The 25,119-nt window shown below is 38.6% G+C and overlaps 1 protein-coding gene across 30 annotated transcripts in view; it reads left to right on the top strand.

Moving 5' to 3' along the window:
* Window positions 1-25,119, top strand: part of KANSL1 (KAT8 regulatory NSL complex subunit 1) — a 195,452-nt gene that overhangs the window by 127,004 nt on the left and 43,329 nt on the right. For 25 of the 30 annotated variants that reach the window (NM_001405885.1, NM_001405884.1, NM_001405883.1 and 22 more), the window contains 2 exons: window positions 3,663-3,804; window positions 15,822-15,923. In NM_001405885.1, coding sequence (NP_001392814.1) covers window positions 3,663-3,804; window positions 15,822-15,923 — 244 coding nt within the window. The remainder of the gene's footprint in view (window positions 1-3,662; window positions 3,805-15,821; window positions 15,924-25,119) is intronic. The other 5 variants (XM_047435800.1, NM_001405881.1, NM_001405861.1 and 2 more) reach the window with 1 other exon arrangement.

Raw genomic sequence — 25,119 nt, 5'->3', positions numbered from 1 at the left:
AGAGCAGCTAAGGAGGCTGTTGGGGTTGCCCAGTGGTGATAGATGGGGACCTGGTGTGGTGGTAGTTTTAGGAATGAAAGGAATCTATAAATCCAAAAGATTTTGCAGGATAGAAAGGTGGTAAGCCTTGAAAAGTAAGGAAAGGTGGGAATAAAATACGAGGGTTAACTAGTTTTGTCTCTTTGTGGGTAGGGGGCATTTTTGTTGTTCAAGAATGATCCCTAGTTTCTTATTGATCTCTTGAGATCATTTCCTGGATTTAGGGTAGAGCTAGACCTGCAGCCAACATTGAAGCAGATAACTGTACTTTAAAAGTATCTTTTTATCTTGAAGTGGTTCCATCAAAATTAGGGAACTGTAAAATGTTTTCTTTCTAAAAGAAGAGACATAATTGATAATTATCACAGTGGTTGGTTTGAATGGTTTATGTTTGGTCCATACAAAAGTTAAAATACCATTACTACCCTTGGTCTTAATTATTATGGTATGATTAAGTATTAATTCATGTCTTACTCTGTCGTGGTCAGATTTGTTCTTTTTTATTTTTGACATTTTGTATTTTGCCCCTATGGGAGACTGTGTTCAAGTTCACCTATAGTCATAAGTTTTAGCAGTGAGTGTGTGTATCCTGATGGGAAGTGGGGCTGAGGGCTGTGTGACTGCTGCTGCTTTCTGGGAAAATAGTTTTGTGGTAGATTATGAAATATTTAGATTACAGAATATAGTAGACACCATGTATCCCCAGTGTAATATTTAAACAATGTTAATGTTGTCACATTTCCATCTTTGTTTTTTTACATGAGAAGTCAAACATTATAGGTAGAGCTAAAATCCAACTTCTCCATCCCCTTTCCAGAGATAATGAGGAGCTTGATTGTAAATTTGTTGTATGTCAGTTTTAGGCATTTTAAAATATATTCATCAGTTATCTGTATTGGTAACAATCCTTATTAATGTTTATTTGTTTATTTTTGTGCAGCTTTTGCATTCCCCATTGTTGAGATTAGGTCATGTTGATACATACAGTAAATAAATTGCTAGATAGTATTTCATCAAATTCCTTCACTACTTGTGTGTACTTAATCTTGTTTAGTTTTTTTGTAGTTGTTTCATTCAACATTGTGTTCTTAGATTTAATCATGTTGATACATACAGATGTCGTTTATTTTTATTACTATAGAACTATTAAATGAATAAATTATAGTTTATTTACCAAGTTCAGCAGAATTAGAATATAATTAGTTTTTATCTATTACAGACTCTCCTCCAGTGAACCTGTTTCCTTATGCAGAGGAATGTGTAGTTTATGTTCTCAGAAACAGAATTTCATGGCTGGGCATAGTGGCTCGTGTCTTTGGGAGGCTAAAGGTCAGGAGTTAGAGAACAACCTGGACACCATAGCAAGACCCCATCTCCACAACATTTTTTATTAAAAATTAGCCAGTGGGGCTAGGCTCAGTGGCTCACGCCTGTAATCCCAGCACTTTGGGAGGCTGAGGTGGGTGGATCATGAGGTCAGGAGATCGAGACCATCCTGGCTAACACAGTGAAACCCCGTCTCTACTAAAAATACAAAAATTAGCCAGGCGTGGTGGTGGGCGCCTGTAGTCCCAGTTACTCCGGAGGCTGAGGCAGGAGAATGGCGTAAACCCGGGAGGCGGAGCTTGCAGTGAGCCGAGATCATGCCACTGGACTCCAGCCCGGGCGACAGAGCAAGACTCCGTCTCAAAAAAAAGTTAGTCAGGGCTGGGTGCAGTGGCTCGTGCCTGTAATCCCAGCACTTTGGGAGGTCGAGGTGGGCGGATCCCCTGAGGTTGGGAGTTTGAGACCAGCCTGACCAACATGGAGAAACCCCGTGTCTACTAAAAATACAAAATTAGCCGGGCATGGTGGCGCATGCCTGTAATCCCAGCTGCTCGGGAGGCTGAGGCAGGAGAATCGCTTGAACCTGGGAGGCGAAGGTTGGTGGTGAGCCAAGATTGCGCCATTGCACTCCAGCCTGGGCAACCAGAGTGAAAGAAACTCCATCTCAAAAAAAAAAAAAAAAAAAAAGAAAAAAAAGCCAGGTATGTAGTATGCTCCTGATCCTAGCTGCTTGGGAGACTGAGGTGGGAGGATAGCTTAAGCAAAGGAACTCTAGGTTACAGTGAGCTGTGATTGCACCACCACAATCCAGCCTCAATGATAGAGTGTGAGACCCTGCCTCTCAGGAAAAAAAAAAAAAAAATACAGTATCATGATGGTTGGGTATGCACATTTTACACCTCGCTAAGTATTTTCAAATTATTTTTCAAAAATGGTGGTTCCAATTTTAACTGTTACCAGCAATATATTAATTGCTCTTTTCCATTTCTCACCACCTGTTGGCTTTATGAGACTGTGCGTTTTCCCATCCAGATTTCAAACAGCATCTTAATGTTTTACCTAATATTTATATTTTAACCAAATTTTAACGAGATGACACATTTTTATATATTTATTATTTGCCTTTTATGTGAATTTCCTATTTCTGTTAAGATTGTCTTTTTTTCTTTTATCCTATTTCTGAGAGTTCTGTTACATATTCTGATGTTTAATCGTCAGTTATATGTGTTAGATATCTTCCACCAAAATGTAGTTGGCCTTTTAACTTTATTAGATTTTCTATTGTATGTTGAAAAGTAGGTGAAATCTTTGTGTATTATCTAAGAAATGCTCCCTGCTCTAAGTCCCGAAGATATTCTTTTAAGTTTGGCTGTTCATATTTAGCAATTTGAAATGCCAAAATTTTGTAATTATATCATGAAGAAGGGAACTAATTTTACTTTTTCCTTTAAAGAACTGGCCAGTTTAGTACTATTTATTGAGTAGTTTGATCGTTTCTGCACTGATCTGATTTTTTAAAAATTTCCCGTTATCTTTTATGTATCTAGTTCTACGTTTTGAGGCTCTCTATAGTTTTGCAGCAAATCTGGCTGTCTGGTAATGTGTATTTGCATCATGCCTTCTTGCAAATTTCTTGCTGTTGGTCCTTTATTCCATGTGAACTTTTAGATCTGTTTCTCAGCTTTCATTAAAAATACTGTAGGCAATTTGATTGGAATTTCTTTGAATTTATAGATGTTCATGAGAATCGCCATCCTAAAAAAATGTGTCCTACCATTTGTATAGATCTTCATGCTTTCAGGCGTTATTTTCTCTGTAAAGATATTTAATATATCATTAGTTTTGTTGGTGTTATGAATGGTACTTAATGATATTTTCTACTTTATTAGTTTTTAAATATTCTTTACTGAACACTTTTGCTGAATTCTTTATTAGTTTTAATAATTCTTAGTGTCAGTTGGATTTCCTGTATAGATTATTCTTAATGTATGTTTTATTTTGGCATGGACAATAATTTTATTGTCCCAGAGAAATTAAAGGGATTTCAGAGAAACTGTGTGCCACAGGATCAGGATGCTAGAACGCAGTTCCACTTAATTTGGGAAATACCTATTTGGAAGTTTATATCCATGTGCATCCTGATGAGCGGGAGGTGTCTTGTCTCTCTCTTGGGTTTTTCTTGACACTAGAGTTAGTCTCTGCAAGGGCCTTTAAAAGTTAAATTCCACTCCCCACCCCCCAATCTGGTATAGATATTACTGCTACTCTTGGATTTCACTCAGTTTATTTCCTTTTAGGAGACGCAGGTCAGAATGGAAATGGGCTGCAGACCGGGCAGCTATTGTCAGCCGCTGGAACTGGCTTCAGGCTCATGTTTCTGACTTGGAATATCGAATTCGTCAGCAAACAGACATTTACAAACAGATACGTGCTAATAAGGTAAGGGATAAGTATCTGATGTTTTTAAATGCTGCCGAAAACTATCAATATCGCTTTTCTCACATCCCCTCCCACCTCGTAACCCCCATAACCCTCTTCTTAACTATTGCAAAGTAAATGGTTTAATGACCTGATATAGTGGTTTAATTTAAGAACCTGATGTGGCTGCGCGTGGTGGCTCACTCTTGTGATCCCAGCACTTTGGGAGGCCAAGGCAGGAGGATCATTTGAGCTCAGGAGTTCGAGACCAGCCTGGGCAACATAGTGAGACCTTGTCTTTACAAAAATTACAAAAATTAGTTGAGCATGATAGCATGTGCCTGTAGTCCCAGCTACTTAGGAGGCTGAAGTGGGAGTATCGCTTGAGCCCACGAAGTGGAGGTTGCAGTGAGCCAAGATTGTGCCACCACACTCCAGCCTGGACAACTAAGAAAGGCCTGTCTCATAAAAAGGAAAACACTATTAGAATATAATGTTTAACTGAACGTGTATTTAGAACAAAACTGTGTGGGTATCTGAGCTAACAGGAAACAAGGAAAACAGACTGAATAATGCAAGCAAGCCATTGATGTTAACTGTCATATTTGTTAGATTTATATTTGTTAGTTCCCTGTTATAAAACTGCCACATTTCATAGAACTTAAGATGCTACTGATGGTAAGATGTACCATTATTTTAAGTGCTTACTGTGTCTCAGCAGTGTTCTCAAAAATCCTACCTTCATGAAGCTTACATTCTTGCAAAGTATTTTTTATATTAGCTTGGTGTGGCTGAGCTCTATCTTTATGTAGACCCATGTCTAGAAAAAGTCTATTGCTACTAAAAATAAGGGTCAAAATGCCTTTTTGACCTTAGTACTAGTCAAAGCCTTAAGAAAATGGCTTTCCTGTGAACAGTATCCATTAAATTAGTAGGCCAAAAGTTGAAGGTTGATCAACTGATAAAATGAACAGAATGATCAGGGTTTGAAGTGAAAGTTCTGTGGGCTATCTAATCATTTAAACTTTTATTCTAAAAATGTCACTGCGGACTTATAGCTTCTTTCCAGATTGGAGATACATATATATATATATATTCCCCCTCCCCCTAAAAGTTCAATAGAGCATACTTTAATTGAGGACACAGTCCAGAGGGCTCACTTTTTTATTCTTACTAGTTTGTTCCCTTAGGGTAGCATACAAATTAAATCCTGATTTACTTATTTAAAAATTAGCTGGAACAAAACTAATAAACATTCTAGATTTGGTGCATATTTTGCTTTCCCAAGTCTTCACAAAGGAAATTTTAAAGTGAGATTTGTAGAACTTGAACTGGAATGATGACTAAGAATAACTAGGAGGTGACTGGATATGCCTGTACTGAGGAGAAAAACACAGTCTTTCTCTATCAGAGACACCTCTTCAGTGTCTGTTTCTAGGTTTTTATAGCCAGTAGTTAAGTGGGATTTTCTATATTTGAGAACTAGAGTCTCTTAGTAACAACTGAGATTAGTATAATAGTAGTCATAAGTGCTGCTTCATCTTTTTATATACATTCATAAATATATATGTGGGTTTATATATGTGTATATGTTATATCATCTTAGTTCCTTGTTATAAAACTGCTACATTTCATAGAACTTAAGATGCTATTGATTGTAAGATGTACCATTGTTTTAAGTACGACAAAGAAATTATTTCAGTTAAACCAGGGCATAACAGAAATTGTAAAATGCATCTTGATTTAAAAGTTGTTGACATGTGGGGAGAGTACCTCTTAGAATTGATGAAATACTGTGTATCAATTCTCAGGAAACTGAAATGACATAGAAGTATAAAAGACACCCACCCTCCCCCCCCCCCCCCAAAAAAAAAAAAACAACCCAACAGCTCAAAATTATCTCGCTACCAACATTATGGTACATTTTCCTAGCACATAAGTAATTTGTTCAAATACAGTCATGTTACGTATGTGCCCTGAATATTTCCCAGTTGGTTTTTGGAAAACATTTTTAATGGCTGCATGCTATTGGCTTTCTTTGTTGACTATTTAAGTTACATTTGTTATTTAAATTAAATATGCCATGATAAATATCTTTATCTCAGTCAAAGGTATGAATGCTCTTTTATGTTCTTAATGCATTCTTCAGAGAAGTATTTTGGCAGTGTCAGTTTATAGTCTCACTAGCTGTGTATAAGAAGATACTCACCTCATTTGGTTCATGCTTTATTCTTCAGCTCATCACTCAGAAGTAATGACAGAGCAATTTTCAGAAACTTTCAAAATATCAAAATATCTGAAAAGTATTTCTAAATATCTGGAAAATAATCTGGAGTTTTGTATATACCATCACACATTGCTTAACAAAAGGGAAACTGAGAAATGTGTTGTTAGGTGATTTCATTGGTGCGTGAACATCATAAAGTGCACTTAAATTCAAGCTGAGGGCCGTGCGCAGTGGCTCACGCCTGTAATCTCAGCACTTTGGGAGGCCGAGGCATGGGAGTCCAAGGTGGGTGGGTCACCTGAGGTGAGGAGTTCGAGACTAGCCTGGCCAACATGGTGAAACCCCTGTCTCTATGAAAAATACAAAAAAATTAGCCAGGTGTGGTGGCGGGTGCCTGTAATCCCAGCTACTCGGGAGGCTGAGACAGGAGAATCACTTGAACCTGGGAGACAGGGTGCAGTGAGCTGAGATCGCGACACTGCACTCCAGCCTGGGCAAAGCAGAGCGAGTCTCTGTCTCATATACATACATACATACATACTTACATATATACATACTTAATACATACAAGCTGAGGTGGTATGGCCTGCTATTCACTTAGACAATATGGTATATAGCCTATTGCTCCTAGGGTATAAACCAGTACATCATGCTACTATACTGAATACTGTAGGCAATTAGTGGTAAAGATTTATGTATTTAAACATACCTAAACATAGAAAAAATACAGTAAAAATGTAGTAGAAAAGATAAAAATGGTACACCTGTATAGGGCACTTACCATGAATGGAGCTTGCAGGACTGGAAGTTGCTCTGGGTGAGTCGGTGGGTGAAGGGTAACTGAAATTGAAAAGCCTGGGACATGACTGTACACTACTATAAACTTTATAAATACTGTACACCGAGGCTACACTACATTTATTTTAAATATTTTTTTCAATAATAAATTAACCTTAGCTTACTATAACTTTTTGCTTTATAAACTTTTAAGTTTTTAAAACTTTTTGACTCTTTTGTAATAACACTTAGCCTAAAACACAAATACATTGTAATTGTACAAAAATATTTTCTTCACACCTTATTCTACAAGCTTTTTTCTATCTTTAAAACTTTCCATTTTAAAATGAAAGTTTTATTTTTTAAACTGTTTTGCTAAAAACTAAGACACAAACACACACATGAACGTAGGCCCACATGGGGTCAGGTTTGTCGGTATTACTGTCTTCCACCTTCACATCTTGTTACACTGTTAGGTTTTCAGGGCCAACAACACACACGGAGCTTTCATTGCCTGTGACAGTGCCAACAGAAGGACCTGCTGGAGGCTGTTTCACAGTTCACTTCTTTTAATGAGTAGAAGTACTCTCTAAAATAACGATTAAAAGTATAGTATAGTAAATACATAACACTTTTTATTATCATAAGAAATAAGTGTAACAGTAACATAGCTTTTATTATCAGCTATTATATTCTTAGTGTACATAATTGTATGTGGTATACTTCTAATAGCAGCACTGTAGGTTTCTTTACACCAGCATCACCACAAACACAGGAGTAGTGCTTTGTGCTAAAACAGGTATTCTTCAGCTGTATTAAAATCTTATAAGACCATCATTGTATATGTGGTCTGTCATTGACCATAATGCTATTTGGCACATGAATGTATGTTGCTTATCCAAGAGTTTCATCATTCAAAGCGTATTGTATTAAGCACCATACTTGGACTTGGTAAATTTTTGTTTCTAATCGTGGCTTTGCTACCAGCTGCTTACATGAACCTTGAGAAGAAAAGTCACTTAACATTTCTGAGCTTCAGATTCTTGGTCTGTAAAATACAACATCATAGATAATCTTTTACTTCTCAGAGTTCCGATAGGAAGAATAAAACTAGGTTGATAGTTCCAATAAGTAATGCATCAAGAAAATTCACAGCTTTACGTGTCGTATTTATACATTTCTTTTTCAACAAATGGATTAGTTTCCTAGACTGTCATAACAAACTATCACAAATGGGATGGCTTAAAAAATCAGAAATGTGTTCTCTCACCGTTCTGGAGGCCAGAAGTCTGAAATTATGGTGTCAAAAGGGCCATGGTCTCTATGGAGGCTCTAGGGAAGAATCCTTCCTTGTCTTTTTCCAGCTTCTGATATTGTGCTAGTCCTTGGTGTTCTTGGCCTGTAGCTACATCACTGCAGTTGCTGCCTCCATCTTCATATGACCATCTTTCTCTTTGCATCTGTGTAGATTTCCATGTCAGGAGGACACCAGTCATATTGAATTTAGAGCCCACACTAAATGGCTCTTCATAACTTGATTACATCTGCAAAGACCCTTTTTCTAAACAAGGTCATATTCACAGGTTCTGGGTGAACATAAATTTGGAAGAGACAATATTCAACTTGCTCTAACAAGCCATGGAATTTTCCCCCAATGATATATTCACATGCATTTAGTCTTTATGTAACACTATAATTAATAGAAGTTTTTGAGCACTTGTGATATGTCAGGCACTGTGCTAAGCATTTTACTCTCATTCACGATTTTCAAGATAAACAATGGAAGATCAGAGCAGTCAAGTAGTTTGTTCATGGTTACACATCCAAGTGAGTGCAGAGCTATTGCTCAAGTTAGTAATCACTTTAAGTGCTTGGGTTTTTTTTTTAGTTACTGAAATGGAAGAAAGTTTTTCCTATGTGTTTTGGTTAAGTGGGTTGGTGTTCATATTTTCCATGCTGCACCAAGATTTCCCAGCACTTCCTGGGTTGCACAGGTCTTTTTTTTTTTTTTGAGATGAACCTAGGTGATAGGCTGAATCTTGGTGATAGGCTGTTGAGTTATAATTTGTCTTCGGGTGGGAGATTGGAGGGATGGTGGGGCTTTTCTTTTTAAGGATTTACTTTGTTGCTTATTAACATTAATTTTATTTAAGTGGCGTATTACCAAAAAAAAAAAAAGTATTTGTGACTACTGCTAGGTGATTCTAGGATCCAGACACCAGTTTCTGTTCTGTCAGAAGGTAGGTATTACCTTCCAAGCTGTGAAGTGAGTAGAGTCCCTTTTGGGAATAATATTGCTCTCTGGAGAAAGAATATAACTTCTAGGAACTCCTCTGTACTACTTCTGCATGCTGTTGTACTCTTTTAATTTTCATAGTTTGTCAGCTTGTTTTTTAAAAAGAAACTCTTCCATGCTTTAGAAGGAGAAACGAAAACAATATACGTACCTTGAGTGTATACTAATTAAAGGTTTACTCATGTATGTTCGTTTAATGATCAGAATAAATCTTCAGAGGCTTGTAAAAGGCAGAGCTAAATTTAAACTCAGGACTTTTTATCTGATTCCAAAGCATTTTTTTTCTAACATACTTTGCTGTTGTGTCCTTTTCATCATTTCACTGAAACATGTTTGTTGAAATTTCACACCTGGTAAATGAGGGGAAAGAATAGGGACTAAGCAGTTTTTAAGAGGCAGGGTCTTGCTCTGTTGCCCAGGCTGAGGTGCAATGGCCAGATCATAGTTCTTTGTAACCTGAAACTCCTGGGCTCAAGCTATCCTCCTACCTTAGCCTTGCAAGTACAAGTAGCTGGGACCATAGGCAAGTCCCACCATGCTTAGCTAATTGTTAAAGGGTTTTTTTTATTTTAAAGGATGGGGTCTCGCTGTGTTGTCCAGGCTGGTCTCAAACTCTTGACCTCAAGTGATCCTCCTTGCCTTGGCCTCCCAGAAGCACTGGCTTGACTCTTACGTTGTTTTTTAAAATCTCCTCTTCTGACTACTCTTTGAGATTACACAGCTGTAGCTGAGGATGGAAATGTTATTGAGGATGGGAGGTGGAAGAGCATTGAAACTTTTGAATAGGGAAGGAGTTGAATGGGAACTGCAGAAGCTTATAACACCTTTCTCTTCAAAATTTTCATAAAGCTGTTGAAGTTCTCATCTTAATAGGGTTTTTTAAAGCACTTTAGACAACTTATCTTTTCCAGGTAGCCCAGGGTGATTCTTGTGGAACTGGTCTGCAGTGGGGTCACTGGTTTGTCTTGAGATGCATAGGGAAGATTGACCTGATAGAGTGATGTAAGGAAGTATGTGAAATTGCCTGTTAGCTGTATTGCAAATACAGTTGAGAGAGGGTTCATCCACAGAGGAGTCACTTAGGAGGTATTAAGGCTGCATGTAACTGTGACCCATTCCAGTTCCTTTGGTCCTTGTGTAAAGCAGAAGCTTGCTTCACTCTTGGAGTTTTCTAGGCCTGTGCAGCCTAAGCATGATCCTGGCTCTGACTCGGGACATGGCGAAGGAAAAGGAGACTCTTGACCTTTTTCTTCGGCTTCTACCGGTTGCTATTTCATAGTACAGCAGCCCTAAGTTTATTGCCACCAGGCTAATGGCACAGCTATTCAACACTGACCCAGTTTAAACCTGGAATGTTAGGGAAGCCCATGTTGGGGTAGCATGACAGGTGTGGAGTAGAACATTATGAAGTTTTCTCAGCTAATGCTAACCTTTCTTTTCATGGTTATTAAACATGAGTAAACTTTATCCGAAATAAGTGTTATTGTGGCATATGAAACATTGTATACAGAAAAGGGCAAAGTCATTAAGTGTATAGTTAATGAATAAGTATAGCTCAAAATATATTAAATATATTTTGGGGAATGTTAAGTAATTATGTAGACCTCCTCTGTAAAGCCTCACTTTCATCAGTCTCTTCAGTTAGGCTCTTTTCTGCTCTGACATCACCTTCTCTCAACTTCTGTTATAGTACTGTCATAATACTTTGTCTCTTTGTCTGTTCAAGGCTAGATGAACATAAGCTCCTTATGGTAGAATCTGTTTTTATTTTATTACTGTGTTTTCACACTACCTTGCACGTGGTAGCCACTCAATAGATGCTACCTGCATGAATGACTCTTACCTACTTGGATGCTTTTTATTTGCTCAGCCTCTTTTTAGCTGTTTTCATCCTTTTTGGTGTGAGGTACAGTATTAAATTAGAGGATCCAGTGTTTGGTTTTGAATGCCATAGTGAACTTACATATCTTGGGGGCAATGGACAGTGTATGGATGATTGTTGGTTGCTTCAGTGTAACACTTGAGCACATATTTTCAAAAATAGGTTTAATTAAAACTAATGTGTATTCAAATGTCCTCTGAACAAATGAAGAAGAGTTCCATTCTTCTGGTTGTGGAAGCTAGAAACCTTGGCAGTGTCTCTGACTCTTTTCCCTCCTATCTTGTAAGCACATTGGCATAGCTGGTTGATTCTGTCTTCAAATAAACATTCAAGCAGGGGCACAGTGGCTCATGCCTGCAACCCGGCACTTTGGGAGGCCAGGGCGGGTAGATCTCTTGGCCCCAAGAGTTTGCAACCAGCCTTGGCAACATGGTGAAACCCCTTCTCTACTAAAAATACAAAAAACTAGCCAGGCGTGGTGGTATGCGCCTGTAGTACCCCCTCCCACTTGTATCTCTCTCTCTCTCCTGGGCTTAAGTGATCCTCCTGAATATCTGGAACTACAGGTGTGATATTACACCAGGCTAATTTTTATTATTATTGTTTTTGTGGAGACAGGGTTTTGCCACGTCGCCCAGGCTGGTCCTGAACTCCTGGCCTCAAGCAGTCCTCCTCCATTGGCTTCCCAAAGTGCTGGAATTACAGGCATGAGCCGTCACGACCAACCCCACCATTTCCACTTCTTAATCCCCTCACTATCCTATATTTTGTTCTCTCTAGCATTTAATACCTTCTAATGTAGTACATAACATTTACCTATTTACATTGTTTTTCTTTGCCGCAGTATTAGAACGTAATAAGCACTTTGAAGGATGGGTTAGGGGAGAGGGATAGGTCTCTCATTTTTTCTTGTATCCTTAGTACCTAACAAATGCTGATGAGCGGATAAATGATTTAATTAACTGAACAAAAGAGGAATGAAATATTAGTTAGATGCAGACTTTTGCCCCAGTTCTGCCATGTATTGGCCTGTAGAGACATAAGCTTTGACCTACATCCTCTGTGGGTCTATAAAATTATGTCGATGAATAGATGGTCCCTACCAAGTTTTATTATACTCTCTTAGGAGATGTCTTCATAATCTATCTGAGGGTTGTATTTAGAAATTATTCTGTAGTTTAAGGAAAAATTCTTCCCTTTGGAAAATACTGACTGCGTCCTTACTTTCATATAACTGAAAAAGAAAAATTGAAGGAGTAATTTTATATCTAATTGTTAGATTTATTTATCTTCTGGCTATAATTATTATAAAGTTAATATTTTCCTGTTAGGAAAAAAATTATACAACTCAACAAATATTTGCTATGCATTTATTTTCTTGGTGTATGACTCTGCTAAGGGACATGGGTCATTTAAATATATTTGTATTTTGTCCACATCTTCAATAAACTAACATTAGTTAACAATTAAAGGCTGGGTGCAGCGGCTTGCACATGTAATCCCAGCACTTTGAGAGGCCGAGGCAGGTGGATTGCTTGAGTCTAGGAGTTTGAGACGAGCCTTGGCAACATGGTGAAAGTCCATCTCTACCAAAAAATAGAACAATTAGCTGGGTGTGGTGGCTTGCACCTGTTATCCCAGCACTTTGGGAGTTTGAGGCAAGTGCATTACTTGAGTCCAAGAGTTCGAGACCAGCCTGAGCAACTTGGTGAAACCCCATCTCTACCAAAAAAATACAAAAATTAGCTGGATGTGGTGGCATGCACCTGTTATCCCAGCTATTTATGGGGTTGAGGTGGGAGGATCACTTGAGCCCGGGAGGGGGAGGTTACAGTGATTCGTGACCACACCACTGCACTCCAGCACAGGTGACAGAGCTTGACCCTGTCTCAACAAACAAGAAACTGAGGCAATAATAAGTGAAATAAATAATGTGGCATAAGATTATGAATGCTCTGGAAATGAGATTTAAATACACAGAAAGTAAGATACAATCACCGTGCTTTAGGAGGTCTGGCAGTGTGGATAAAGCAAGTAGGAACTCATTAACCCGGGACATTTTCTTGGAAGGAGGTGGGACTTGTTGAAAATCTCTTTGGAAGGACGAACGGCAATTTGGACTGATAAAATATAAAAATGAGTATAAATAAAGATGAACAGCTCATGTGTTAACCTTTAATTCAGTTTTTTTTAACCTTCTACTGACTAATAACCCTTACCTCCAGCAGCAGCAACAGCTTCACATTCATTGAAACATTTGTCTAGGAGATGATGAGATTGGTATAACACTAACAAATATTTGGGGAAAGTAGTTGGAAATTGATCTTTAAAAAAGTTCTTAGGAACCGGTTATGGGAAAATTTGAATAATAAAATGATTTTTGGCATGCTTTGTACAGGAAGCAGGAAGACAGTTTGGGCCCTTAAGTAGGGAATATCTGTTGAATACAACGTTTTGAGAAGGCAGTGGTGTACAAGATAACTGTCTTTTGCAAATAGTTTTTATTTGGATGTGATAAAGTTTGTAAGGTATATCTTATGCTTTTGATTTAGGGAAGAAAATATTTTGAAGCAGAAGTTCTTTAACCAGAGAAACCTCATTTTAAAGGCTAGGGTTAATGTTTCTTGCTTACTAGTTAATGGCCTTTCTCTTGTTTCTGAGGAGACTCCAATTCTTTTTTTTTTTTTTTTTTTTTTTTTTTAATTTTTAAAATTTTGAGGTGGAGTTTCGCTCTCGTTGCCCAGACTGGAGTGCAATGGCACAGTCTTGGCTCACTGCAACCTACACCTCCCAGGTTCAAGCGATTCTCCTGCCTCAGCCTCCCAAGTAGCTGGGATTACAGGGGCTCACCACCACGCCCAGCTATTTTTTGTATTTTTACTGGAGACGTTGTTTCACTGTGTCGGCCAGGCTGGTCTCGCACTCCTAACCTCAACCTCCCCAAGTGCTAGGATTACAGGTGTGATCTACCACACCCAGCCTCCAATTCATTTTTGTTGTTGTTGTTGTTGTTGTTGGAGATAGAGCCTTGGTCTGTCGCCCAGGCTGGTGTGCAATGGTGTGATCTTGGCTCATTGCAACCTCTGCCTCCTGAGTTCAAGCGATTCTCCTTCTTCAGCCTTCCGAGTAGCTGGGACTATGGGCATGTGCCACGACGCCTGGGCAATTTTTGTATTTTTAGTAAAGATGGGGTTTCACCATGTTGGCCAGGCTGATCTTGAACTCCTGACGACCTCAGGTGATCCACCCGCCTCAGCTTCCCAAAGTGCTGGGATTACAGGTGTGAGCCGCCATTCCGGGACCCTCCAATTCATTTTTGATACGGGCTAAGTGTAGTCATATTCCAGAATAGGGAGGCAGTGCTTCTTTTGCTTCAAGAGAAAAAGAGATACATACTTCTTTTTTAAAAACTGAAATAAAATTCCATTTTTCTTTCTTAATGTTTTCCCCTTTTCTGCAGCTTGTATTTCATATTGGTTTTTTAGTTACAAGGACCCCAGGGATGGATCATCTGGTTTAGTGGCTCATAAGAGTCTGTCGTATGGCCTAGAGAGCTAAGACTAATAGTCACAATCCCTAGTCCCCCAAATCTATACTTTAGGATGTTCTTTGAGCCCAAACTAATCAAGTCTAGTGTTTTTCAACTTTACAAGTTTAGGACTTACCAGGGGAGCTTTTAAAGAATAGTAGAATATCCACCTCTGGGCATGGTGGTAGGCACCTGTCATCCCAGCTACTCCAGAGGCTGAGGTGGGAGGATTGCTGGAGCCCAGGAGTTTGAGATCAGCCTCGGTAACATAGTGGGGTTGGCGGGGTGGGGGAGGAGAGAGACACCCACCTCCATGTACCCACCATGTCCTGCCTCCCTTCCCCCATAAAAAGGTAGACTACCTGGCCCCACCCCCAGAGGTACTGAGTAGATGTTGGACCTAAGCCAGTATAGTTTGATAAGGTTCCCCAGGTGATTCTGATAATAAATTTCCATTAAGAGCTTCTTAATCTAGTTAGATCTCTATTTTTTAGACCAGAGAAAGAGATTGGGAACCCTGATCACTTGCATCCCAGTCTTTCGGTTATATAGTGTCATAGCCTTATTTTTGTCACCTCTTCTGGTATACATGGTGGGATTCATATGTAGTATTTTGTTTTTTTAATAATAAGATACCTTCTGCCTTTACCCATCCTGGCTCATTATATGTACAATGGGGAGGACTTGTGGGTTCATTTTTAATTTCTTTTTATGTAAATTGTTTCCTGGAATGAATTTCCAAAGGTCTGAATTTGAAATTGTCAAGCAGGAACTTAATCTGAAGTAATATTTATGCTTATGAAAAAAGCAGGTTCCTTTGGGCCAGCTTTTAAGAAGCTCTTGGTTTCTCATAAATTGTAGGGGACTGTTCCACATTTGTTTCATTCAGTTTTGTTTGTGCAGGTATAGTTGGTGGAGTACATGATTAAGAATAGTAGCATTTTCAGCTTAGTAAGTCATAAACTGCATTTGTTGGCTACAAAAACTGCATTGCTGCTGTTAATCTAGTGGAGTCTAGTAATATGGTATAAATGCCATAATCTGGTAAAGATTTCATATCTGAAAGATATGAATAAAGATGCTAAATGGCTGATGAGCCATGTAGGTCAGAGCAGTCAAGTGGCAGAGAGGGGAGCCTGGGTCTGCTGCTTGTTGAAATAGCTCTTTGGGAAAACAAAGCTGCTGCTGCTGTAGTTTGTTTCTGAACCATAGGGTGAGGAAGAGGGGGCCTCTAGTACACCAACAGTCCTTTTGAGACTTAACTCCTAAATTAAATTTGAAGTTTATACTGCTCACTTATGCTATTTTTCTCCTCTCTATCCTGCAGGGGTTGATAGTTCTTGGGGAGGTACCTCCCCCAGAGCATACAACAGACTTATTTCTTCCACTTAGTTCTGAGGTGAAGACAGATCATGGGACTGATAAATTGGTAAGTATAAAAGATAGAAAGGGGGAAATGCGTGAGAATTAAGGGTGTTGTCTTGGCACACCGTTTTTTCTCTGTAACTAGGATCCTTGCATTGGCTGAAGAAGGGGAACTGTATCTACTTTTATCACTTTTGGTGTTTTAAGATCTGAATTCCTGAATAGGGAATCTAGGGCCCATCCTGCAGCTGTGTAGCTGACCATAGGATTAAAAGCAGCTCCAATTCTCAAAACACTACAGCCAGAGCAAGTAAGGCTTTAGGGAGTATCATTGGGAATCAGGAGACCTGGGTGTGGCTCTGACACCTGAGACATAAGGTCACCTTTCTGGGCCACTCTAATATATTATAGCCTTTTCATTAAAAGGTTAGACTAGAGGTTAAATTCACAAGAACACTGAAAATGGTCTCTGTGGGTGATTCACTGTTATTCTATAATGAGCATTAAACTGTCATTTTCTGTTTCCTTCTGTATCCTAGCTCTACTGTGATTCCTTCTCTTTCCTGGTTTCTCTCAATACCATAGTTAATTTTCTTTCTGAATTCCAAGAGCACTTGTTCTTTTCACTTTTTTACTTTGCCTAAAAGGTTACTGGGTTTTATGAATATTCATATTTCTTGATTTAAGTCTCCATAACTTAATTAGAAATTCCAAAGTCCCACAACCGTAGTTTATTATTTTGATTATGCTTCAGATAATAAAGCTAGTGTGAAGTGATGGCTTTTTAAATGGTGAGTTAAGCAAGCTGTTCTTGTATCCGCAAATAAACCAACCTTATAGTTCTTTTATTTATTTTAATCATTGTTAGCAGGAACGCATGATGTGGTGGAAACTAAATTTTCTCTGAGGCAGATATTGGAGATGTTTAGATCTTGGAAAGATCTCTCACCTAATTTTGAAAGCCAGCCACTGTTGCTAGAGATAAATGTGAAGACACTAGAAGATTGATAGTTCTTAACTGGAAAGTAGTTTTGAATAAATTAAAGAGCAGAATGCCAAGTTTTGCCACTATTTAAGTCTATAATATAAGTTCATTGCATGCTGTTTACAGATCTTTTTTAAGTTATTAATGAAACTTTTAGTGAATGGTCTAATCAGGGTAAAAATTGTTAAGTGAGAAAGGAAACATAGATACATTGGTGGTATGGGTACAGGAAACATGAAACATGAGGCATATGTGATAGGGGAGTAAGTTCTATGTAGATACTTATATATTTGTATATAGAATTTAGGGATTCCAAACTTTTTTGAGTAATCTCCCTGTAGTCATGTTTTCTCTTACCTCAGCACTTCTGAAGGACAGGGCATAACAGTCCTCCATTGTGTTACTAATCCTCATTGTCTTAAAAAATCCACAGTGATTGTGAGACAGTTTATACAGATTCACTTGTACACACACACTCTTTAGGAGCTTGGTCCTTTCCCTACCCTTCATTCATTTACTTGTGTGTTAAATTGTAAGATTCCTGTGTGTGTATTAAATTGTAAGATTCTTGAAGGTCAAGACCATCTTTCCCTTTGTGTTGGCCATACTAGTTTCAACATTGTGCAATAGAATGCTTTTTGGATTGAGTAAAATAAATAATGAAAACAACTAAGTATACACTGTCACTATTTTGTCAAGGAGAGATTACCCCTTCCCTGTTTTCGTGAATTATCTACCCTTTATGAATATATCCATGCTTTCTGAAAAGCGTTCAGAAAGTATTAAGAGAAGACAGGGGTTGGGGGGTGGGGTGGGGGGAGCAGGGACAATACATTTCCATTGTTTATTATTAGTAGAATGGGCGCAGAGCATATGTTTCTTAAAAGCTATTGACTTAAATTTTTAAAATGCCAAATATTTGCAAAGCTGTGCGTATGTCAATTGCCAGGCAAAGTTTTTCTGTATAAGAAGGCAGTATTTAACTTTGCTTGTTTGTTCCCCAGGTTTTTTTGTTTTGTTTTGTTTTAAATTTTAGGAAAGTGACTTTTCTCAGTTTTGCTTAAAAAAAAAAATTAGGTTGCCCGGGACAGAGGGCAACTGTAGGTTTTCATACCCACATGTAACCAGCCTGTTTTCCATTTTGTTAATTTTTTCCCCAAATGGAGGTAGGTGTATTTATTCCTTTTTTTTTTTTTTTTTTTTTTTTAAGACAGGCTCTTGCTCTGTCACCCAGGCTGGAGTGTAATCGCACAATCATAGCTCACTTCAGCCTCAAACTCCTGGACTGTGCTTGTTTATTACCCAAAAATATATTTGAAGACTTGTAGTTTAAAAATAATAATGTCAGAGGTATTTTCTGTTATGTTTAATTTTTTTATTCTCATTTCTGAAACTCAGCTGGAATTAACAAAAAAATCAGCGTCTTTAGAATTGTCAAAATATAGTTTCAAAACATTAGATATAATTCTTTTCTTTTTCTTTCTCTCTCTCTCTGTCTCTCTCTCCCCTCTCTCTTCTTTTTCTCTCTTTCTTTCCATCTTTTTAGACAGGGTCTTATTCTGTCACCCAGGCTGGAGTGCAGTGGTGCGACCTTGGCTCACTGCAGCCTCTACCTCTCAGGTTCAAGTGATCCTCCCACCTCAGCTTCCCAAGTAGCTGGGACTACAGGCATGTGCCACCATGTCTGGCTAATTTTTGTATTGTTTGTAGAGATGGGGTTTTACCAAGTTGCCCAGGCTGGTCTCAAACTCCTCAGCACAAGCAATCCGCTGGCCTTGGCCTCCAAAACTGCTGGGATTACAGGTGTGAACCACTGCACCAGCCTAGACATAATTCCTAAATATATAGTGATTTACTGAATAACAAGGGAATCATGATGGTGGCCAAACTGTTAACAGTATTTTAATACCAGATAAAAAGGAAGAATGCAGGAATATGATTACTCAGTAGCATACAAAAGTTATTAATATCCTATAGAACAATAAAGCTGTAACTTTGGACATTGTTTTCAACAAGATGCAAACCAACTTTAACTTGTCAGCGTTCTAAAATAAACATCCAGTAAGACTTCTGGGCCCTAATCAATTATAGATAGTAGGTAAAACAAAGTTAAATAATTTATGGAGAGTCAGATGTTTCCTGGGTGGGCTTGTTAGGTAATGTCCCAGTGGTACACTGCAAGGATACATAGTCTTTTTGCTTTATTTCCAAACAGGATGATTGTTTATTGACAGAACCAGTATATATCTGCTTGGGTCTTGAATACAGTACAGATATTATTGAACTAAGTTGTTCTAAAAGGACCCAACCTATGAGCAAAAGAACTGGAGACTGAATTCATGGGTGAACCTTTTTTGAGTCATGGAGCAAATCAAGGAATATTTTCTGGGTTAGGGAAGTGGGTACTGTTTTTATACCACAGAGTAGTGGGTTAGAGAAAGGGAAGACCTAAGGAGGAATGCCTAGAAAAATGCCTCTTTTTTTATTTTAACCTCTTCATTCTGACTTCTGACTCAAAGGCAGTTTTAAAGGTGTAAGGCTAGCTGAGGGAGAGAAAACTTAACGGGCCTCTAGCTTGGTAGCTGCCGATAAGTCGTGTGTACAGATAAATGCTTCTGTGAAATTTAAGACTCCTTTTGAACAAAGAGGGTGTGCCCTTGGAAAGAGAGCATGTAAAAAGCGGTTGAGAGTTGTTCTCTAGTGTATTGAAACATGCCTCTTATCTTCCCCACCTTCTCATTCTCTCTCTTCAAATAGAAGCTTGCTTTCCCCTGCTTAAGAAAAAGTAATGAGCAAAGAAGGGCAAGCTTGGAACCTGTGCATATTACTAGGTAAATTACTCAACAATGTCAGCAAAATTTCAGACAGAAAGTATTGCCAGGAAGAGATGAGAGCATTCTCAGTCCATGTGCCCCAGAGCTTCTAGAATTCAATAGTCACTGCTTCATGGGCTTGTTTGTATATTATCAGAGGATGGAGTTCAGGGCTGCCAAGTAGGTAGAAATTGAAGGAGGGGAATAGTGGCAAAGAGGGAGCTATGGGAGATGGGGAGGGGCATAGGCCCACAATCTATTTGAGCCCCTTTCAGATCTTTGTGCTCACCCCTGACCTGCACATGTTTAGGGAAGATTTTATAGGGCATAGTGGAAAGCAGTAATTGGAAGGCTGAAAGAGCTGAGCAGAGAAGATCATCATTGCCTAATGCAGGGAAGGCAGAATTTGGAGTTCGAATTCCAACTAGACTTGGCAAAAACCTGAGGGCTTTGATTGAAACCAATAAAGGCTCACACTTAAAGAGTTAAAGAATGTTTCCCAGGACGAAGGCATTCACCATAGGATTAAGGAGGGAACCAAAATAGACTCCACTATGCTTTTATAAAAACAAAACTAGCTCCACAAAATGAAGGTAACCAGGTAGTAGTAGTATGCCTGCTAGAACAAAAATCAACACTCTTTAGGAAAAGCTAACTAAATTCAGAGTCTCTATAATGTATTGCATACATTGTCTGTATATAATAGAAAATTACCATACATATGAATAAACATGAGAATATGATTCTTAGTCATGAGGAAAAAGAAAAAAAAAGATGGAAAAAAATTGAGGAACTTAATGACTGGATTTTTGAATTTAAACAGTCAGTTTACAAATGTATGAAACTTTAGGCCGAGCACGGTGGCTCATGCCTGTAATCCCAGTACTTTGGGAGGCCGAGGTGGGTGGATCACCTGAGGTCAGAAGTTTGAGACCAGTCTGGCCAACATGGTGAAACCCTATCTCTACTAAAAATACAAAAATTATCCAAGCGTGGTGGCAGACACCTGTAATCCCAGCTACTCGGGAGGCTGAAGCAGGAGAATCGCTTGAACTCAGGAGACAGAGGTTGCAGTGAGCCGAGATCATGGCACTGCACTGCAGCCTGGGCAACAGAGTGAGACTCCGTCTCAAAAATAAAATAAAAAAATCATGAAACTTCAAGAATAATAACCATGAGAATCACAACATTGTAGTAAAAATCGTGAAAATCAAAGGTGAAGACCTTATTCCTGAGCTGTGATGCTGTTTAAAAATTAGGAAAAAAACCTAACGCCTAACATCACACTACTTGGTGAAAGTGCTTGTTTTGTTGGTCTACAATTAGGAAAAAAATATATCCTAAAAATATTGTAAGCTGGGCACAGTGGCTCATGCCTGTAATCCCAGCACTCTGGGAGGCCAAGGTGGGCGGGTCGCTTGAGCCTCAGAGTTCAAGACCAGCTCCAGCAACCTGACGAAACCCCATCTCTACAAAAAAATACAAAAATGAGCCTGGTGTGGGGGCGTGCACCTGTAGTCCTCACTACTCTGGAAGCTGAGGTGGGAGAATTGCTTGAGCCCAGGTGGTGGAGGTTGCACTGAGCTGAGATCATGCTACTGTACTTGAGCCTGGGCGACGGGGTGAGACCCTGCCTCAAACAAACAAAAACATTGTACTCTGTCTTGGCTAATGCAATATTGCAAGAAAAAAGCAATTAAAGGCATGGAAATTGGAAAAGGTAGGGCAAAACTGCTTGTATTTGAAGATATGATACTTAGAAACCCCATGGAATTCCCTAAACCTGTGAGAATTAGAGATTTAGCCAAGGTCTCCAGGTACGGGGTCAATATATAAAAGTCAATTCTATTTTTATTTATTAGAGCAAACAACTGAAAAATAACCCGGAGAAACAGTTCCATTTGCGGTAGTATCAAGAAACATAAAATACTTAGGAATAAATCTAACAAAAGACGTTAATGACTTTATTGCTGAAACCATAAAACTTCTGAAAAAGATTACATAAGTGAACGGAGATGTATGCTGTATTTATGTGTTAGAAGAGTCAATGTTAGACACAATGATTCAATGCAAACCCAGTGAAAAATCCCAGCAAGATTTTTTGGTTTATGTTGTGTTGTTTTTGGTAACAATTGAACATTGATTTTCAAGTATGTATGGAAATGTTAAGTATTTTCAAGAGCCAAAACAATTTTTTTTTTTTTTTTTTTTGAGATGAAGTCTCTCCCTGTCACTCGGGCTGGAGTTCTGTGGTGTGATCTGGGCTCACTGCAACCTCCACCTCCTGGGTTCAAGTGATTCTTCTGCCTCAGCCTCCCGAGTAGCTGGGATTACAGGCGTGTGCCACCACACCCAGCTAGTTTTTGTATTTTTAGTGGAGACGGGGGTTTCACCATGTTGGCCAGGCTAGTCTTGAACTCCTGACCTCAAGTGATCCGCCTGCCTCGGCCTCCCAAAGTGCTGGGATTACAGGCGTGAGCCACTGCACCTGGCCAGTAGCCAAAACAATTTTTAAAAACAAGAACCAAATTGGAGGAGTCACACTCTCCTCCTACTACCTGATTTCTAGCCTTCTTACAAAGTTAATTTAAAATTTATAATTTGCTTTTAACAATGTTTGATAGATAATGAAAGTTAGTAAAAGCTAATTGTCATTGTTCCAGACTGCACTTTGTGTCTGAAAGACTAAGTAGAACCAGGTATCTATCTTTTCTTGAGTGCTTCTTGTTCTTCCAACAAGCATAAAATGGGAGTGCTGGAGGGAGTCAGTAAAGGTAGTTTCCTAGGGAAGGATGGACTTTTTTCTGAGTCTTATGGACTTGCTGAAGCATGGTGTAGGGAGTAATGTGTAATGCAGCATAGGCTTGAAAGAGCCTGGCATTATCAGGTAACTGCAAATACTTTTCTGTGATGGAGTGTTGGATATTTTGGCCAATTCAGAATGGATTCTATATTTATCTTAAGTGAGTACTGTAACTGATAGGAACCTGTAGACTGTACAGATTTATGTATGAATGAAGTTTGTTTTATTAATGCTAGATACATTTTTTCTTCATTCTTTTAAAATATGATTTTAGGCTGGGCACGGTGACCTAAAATCCCAGCACTTTGGGAGGCAGAGGTGGGCAGATCACCTGAGGACAGAAATTTGAGACCAGCCTGGCCAACATGGTGAAACCCCGTCTCTACTAAAAATACAAAAATTAGCCAGGTGTGGTGGTGTGCGCCTGTAATCCCAGCTACTCGGGAGGCTGAGGCACAAGAATCACTTGAACCCAGGAGGCAGAGGTTGCAATGAGCCAAGATTGTGCCACTGCATTCCAGCCTGGTCAACAGCGAGATTGTGTCAGAAAGAAAGAGAGAGTGTGTGTGTGTTGAAATAGTAGTACAGAGTCTCCGTACGGAGCTTTCTCTAATCTTAACACATCTTGTCACAATAATCGTTAATTATCAGAACCACGAAATTAACATTGAAATTAACATTGAACTTATACAAAGTAATAGACATACTTTATTTGAATTTCTGTATTATTAGTTTTCTTATTAATGTCCTTTCTGTTGTCCAGAATCTATCATTGCTTTTAGTTTTTGCATCTCTAAATGTCCTTCAATATGTGAGAGTTCTCAGTTTTTGTATTTCATTACTTGGATACAAGATTTCTGGTCAGTTATTTTGTATAGCGTTCCACAAATTGGTGTTTTCTCATTATTAGAGGTTACGCATTGTTTTACAGGAATGCCACAGAAGATACTGTACCCTTCTCTACACCACAGGGGGTTCATGATTTTGACTTGTCTTTCTAATAGTGATGATAGGTTTGTTCCCTTGGTTAAGGTGGTGCCTGACAGCTTTCTCCTCTGTAAAATTAGCATTTTTCCCTTTGTAATAACTGACAATATTTATTTATTTATTTATTTATTTATTTATTTATTTATTTATTTAGAGATAGGGTCTCACTTTGTCACCCAGGCTGGAGTGCAGTGTCGCAATCACCACTCCAGCCTTCACCTCCCTGGCTCAGCTATCCTCCCATCTCTCAGCCTCCCAAGTAGCTGGGATCACAGGCATGTGCCACCATGCCTGGCACATTTTTATGTTTTTTGTAGTGACAAGGTTTTGCCATTTTGCCCTGGCTGGAATAAATGACTGTCTTATAGGGAGACACTATGTAAATATTCTGTTGCTCATTATATTTTTACTCATAATTTTATTGTTCACTGATGACTTTTTCCTACAGCAATTATTGCTGTGTTGTTTACTAAAGGGTGGTTGTTCTACTTCCTACCTGCATTAAATGGAATTCTGTTAGGAAGAGGTGTCTTCCCCCCTCATTTATTTACTCATTCATTGACTCAGTTGTGAATATCAGGATGGTCCCATGGATATTTATTTTATTTAATGGATTATAACCTATTACTGTTTATACAGTTGCTCCAGTTATCTCAACTTTGGGTATTGGGCGCTCTTTCAGATTGGCTCCTGTGTCCTTTTAGCATGTACCGCTTATATTTTGAAATACTTTCTAATACTAGATGTTCCAGGTTCCTCTTGTATTTTGCCTACTTCAGCTCAGGTTCCTTTTATTAGGAACTAAAATCTGAGTACTAGTTGTGCTCATTGTTACTTCGTAAGTGTCACTGCTTCTAGGATGTCTCAAAAGGCAAAGCAAGGAAACATATGTATCTATGCTCACAGGTGCATACACACACATCTATATTTCTGTATCTACTTAACCTGTATATATATATAAAAAACCGTAAGTTCATACCAGTTCAACACAGCAGCCTTCCCCCTTCCTTATTGATACTCGTTTAATCCTAGTACCCGTATAGTCTCACAGTTGTCATCTAGTACCCCTGTGAAAAACACATTTGCTAACTAGAGTACAATATTTTTGTACAGTATGTTAACTGTTATGCAGTCAAAATACAGTTTTCTGAAGTTACGTAGGTTAGTTATTTCCTTCCACCAAATCTTTCAGTATGGTTATGTTGTTTTGTAATACAGTTAGGTTCATTTGTTACTACAGTATTCAATTCTAGCCTTCCCTGTTTTCCCCACCCCGCATTGTTAATTTTTATTTTTGTATGGGAAACATTACTGTGGTTCTAAAAAAGCTATACATTCTTCTTTATATCCTTTTCTCACTCAACGTCCTGTAGGTTAGCAATTTCAGTACGTTTTGGCTTATCTTTCCTGTATTTTTTTGCACCGATGAGCAGACACATGTATATATTTTTTAAAATCTCCTTCTTGGATAAATATTTTTTAAAATACTAGATTTGACGTTAAGGAGGGTTTTGTTTAGCGAAAAACATTGCTTCTATGGCAATTAACAAGTAACACATTATTTGTGTGTTAGTTTCTGTTTGTAAAATGATCCTGCTCCTTTACCCTTTCCTTGCTCATCCTACTTTACAGAAGTGATGAGAAAAACAAGTGTACTATTAAGTGAAGAGCT

The sequence above is a fragment of the Homo sapiens genome, chromosome 17, assembly GCF_000001405.40.
Source record: "Homo sapiens chromosome 17, GRCh38.p14 Primary Assembly".
NCBI classification, from domain to species: Eukaryota; Metazoa; Chordata; class Mammalia; order Primates; family Hominidae; genus Homo; species Homo sapiens.
Note: the sequence above shows the minus strand (reverse complement) of the source record. Positions and strands in the feature narration are given on the sequence as shown.